This window comes from Homo sapiens, chromosome 9 (genome assembly GCF_000001405.40).
Source record: "Homo sapiens chromosome 9, GRCh38.p14 Primary Assembly".
In the NCBI taxonomy this organism is placed as follows: domain Eukaryota; kingdom Metazoa; phylum Chordata; class Mammalia; order Primates; family Hominidae; genus Homo; species Homo sapiens.
Window position 1 is genome coordinate 98,904,091 of NC_000009.12, and position 2,416 is coordinate 98,906,506.

The 2,416-nt window shown below is 48.6% G+C and overlaps 1 annotated feature.

Moving 5' to 3' along the window:
- Positions 1,765 to 1,971: a silencer, noted in NCBI's record as "fragment chr9:101668137-101668343 (GRCh37/hg19 assembly coordinates)". NCBI's record gives its function as "represses an EF-1alpha promoter that drives an FKBP-Casp9 reporter gene in an ReSE screen in K562 erythroleukemia cells {active_cell/tissue: K562}" and the evidence as "EXISTENCE:reporter gene assay evidence [ECO:0000049][PMID:32094911]".

A 2,416-nucleotide genomic window follows, 5' to 3' on the forward strand; every position in this document is an offset into this window, starting at 1 on the left:
TGACTTGAGGTTGGGGCGCTCTCTGCCGCATTTTAGCTGTGGACAATGGGAAGGAATCAGTATAGCAGGAGAGAGATGGGGCTGCCAGGGAGGGCAGGAAGTGCCGGGAGGGAGGCCTTGGGATCTGGGATGCAGGTGGACGGCTTGGCTCTGCAGACATAATCCTGGGTCCTCTGGGAGGCGAGGAAGGAAGAAACATTGGGCCAGTTTCCTAGAACAGACACTTGTCCAGGCTGCCTGGGGAGACTTGGGTGGGCCGCCTCTTCTCCTGGGAGGAGCAGACTTGTAAGAAGAAATGCATCCTCTCCCTGAAGACCCAGCCCACCTGAGTGGCATCAGGAGAATGATTTCTCAAGATCCCCCTTTGGCAGGAGGGACACCAGAGCCAAGGACAGCCAGGAAGAATTAAAGGAAGAATTAAAGGCCTAATGCAAGCAGGCAGGTGCTGGCCCGGGGACTGAAGTTCAGCTCCTCCAGCCAAAGGGGCTATAGAGGGTAGAGGTCAGGCTCAGAGGCTTGGGGTCACTGGCATGTAGAGGAGCCCTTCTGTGCATCTGCTCATGTGTGGCAGGGCAAGGGGACATCAGTAAAATGGGGACAACAATACCTATATGTCATGTGATTATGGTGAGAATTAAGTAAAATTATTGTAAAAATGGAAAGGGCTCAGAAGAGTGCTTGGCACAGAACATCACTCAGCTGCCCATAGTTATTATTATTTGCCCACAGGGTTGTTGGGAGGAGTAAACAGGACAGCCTGGTGGACAGACCCTGTAAGGCTGGGTCAATGACTACGAGCAGGCTTCTTCTGTTAGGAACTCAACCAGTGAGTGTAGATGAGGATGGGAAATCCTCATCTACAGAGAGGCAGAGAGGAGGGGCGTGGCCTCCAGGGAACCAGCCTCCTCCATTACTTGAGTTTCTGCACCTGACAGCTTCATCATGGATGACACAGGTCACCTCTGGAAAGATGCTTACAGCTCACACAATCCAGCTCTCCAGCTGCATACAAGGGGAAACCGAGACCCAGAGGGTAGAAGTGACTTGTCCTGGGCCATGTGCAAGGCACATCTGAGCCCCACTTCTGGACTCAGACCTAAGGTTCCTTCTTCTGTTGCATCAGCCGAGGTCTCAGTGTTTGGCATTTCTTCCCACAGTTGTCCTCTGCCTCAGAAATCAACGGGCTCTCACCAGCTCTGAGAACCTCAACCTTTGAGAGCTCCCTGATTTGATTCCTTTCTTCCTGTTTTCCCGTAGAAGCCAGTTGAAAAGCAATTGAAAGCCACTTCCACCTCTGGTGACCTCTCCAGAACTCTCCCTCCCTCGGCCTCTCCTGGAGAGGTCAGGAGCAGATTAGCAGTGTGTACCTATCTGCACCCTTCACGAAGGTTTTCAGGGGCAGGTGGTCTCCTTTTCCTCAAATGGAGTGCCCTCCCTCCCTCCTTCGCTGCACCCTCCCTCCCTTCTTCCCTTCCTTCTTTTCTTCTTTTCTTCCTCACACACCTTGCTGTGTCAAAACCACCCATCTGGTACACACAGAAGTTCATTCTGAGTGACCTTGAGCCTGCATCTTTGTTGCACAGGTAGAATTTCTCTACTGAAAAATAGTTTCAGGAGAAAATAGATACAAAATGCCAGGCCTGGTAAGAGCTCATTTGTAAGGCATATATTGACCAACAAGCCCAGGAATTATAGGCATGCAAAATGGGGGAAAATGAAGCTTTAGATTTTTTCTTGTAGCTACCGTGATTTTTTGATAAGCTGTTAGAGCAGCCCATGGCGGGTCTTGCTGCTTTAATAAACTCTCGTGGGGCCAGAGGAGTCTCGTATCCATGAAGCAGGTTCACGTATGTTATTTCATCTGAAACATACAACTGCCCTCTGAGGTGAGCTGGACAGAATTGTTTCCTCCACTTTTCTGATGAGGAAACCGAAGCTCAGAGAGATCAAGGAGTTTCTCCTAAAGATCTGACAGACCCAAGGCTTCGACCAAGTGTTTCTGACTCCACATCTAGGGCTCCTTTTACTAACAATTCTACTTGAGAGAAATCCAGACTTTTAAACTTAGGACAAGATCCTACCCAGAATTTTTAGTTAAGAGCTAGAATTAAGTGAATCTGAAGTGCACATTATCCACAAAAGGGATAAATTATAGTAAAGATAAAAGTGACCATTGAATCAACGACAACTAGACTGTCCCCTCTGGTCTCCCTGTTCCACCTTTGAACTCCAAGTTAGACTTTTATCCTCAAAGCCTTCCCTGGCTCCCTACTCACCCGCTGGGGTGGAGTGGATTATTTTTCCTCTGGGCCAACCTTTTCACGTTCTGTGAGTCTCAACTACAATTTGCATTATATTGTCATTCATTCATTCATTCATTCATTCATTCATTTGTTCATTCACAGAACTCTCTTGT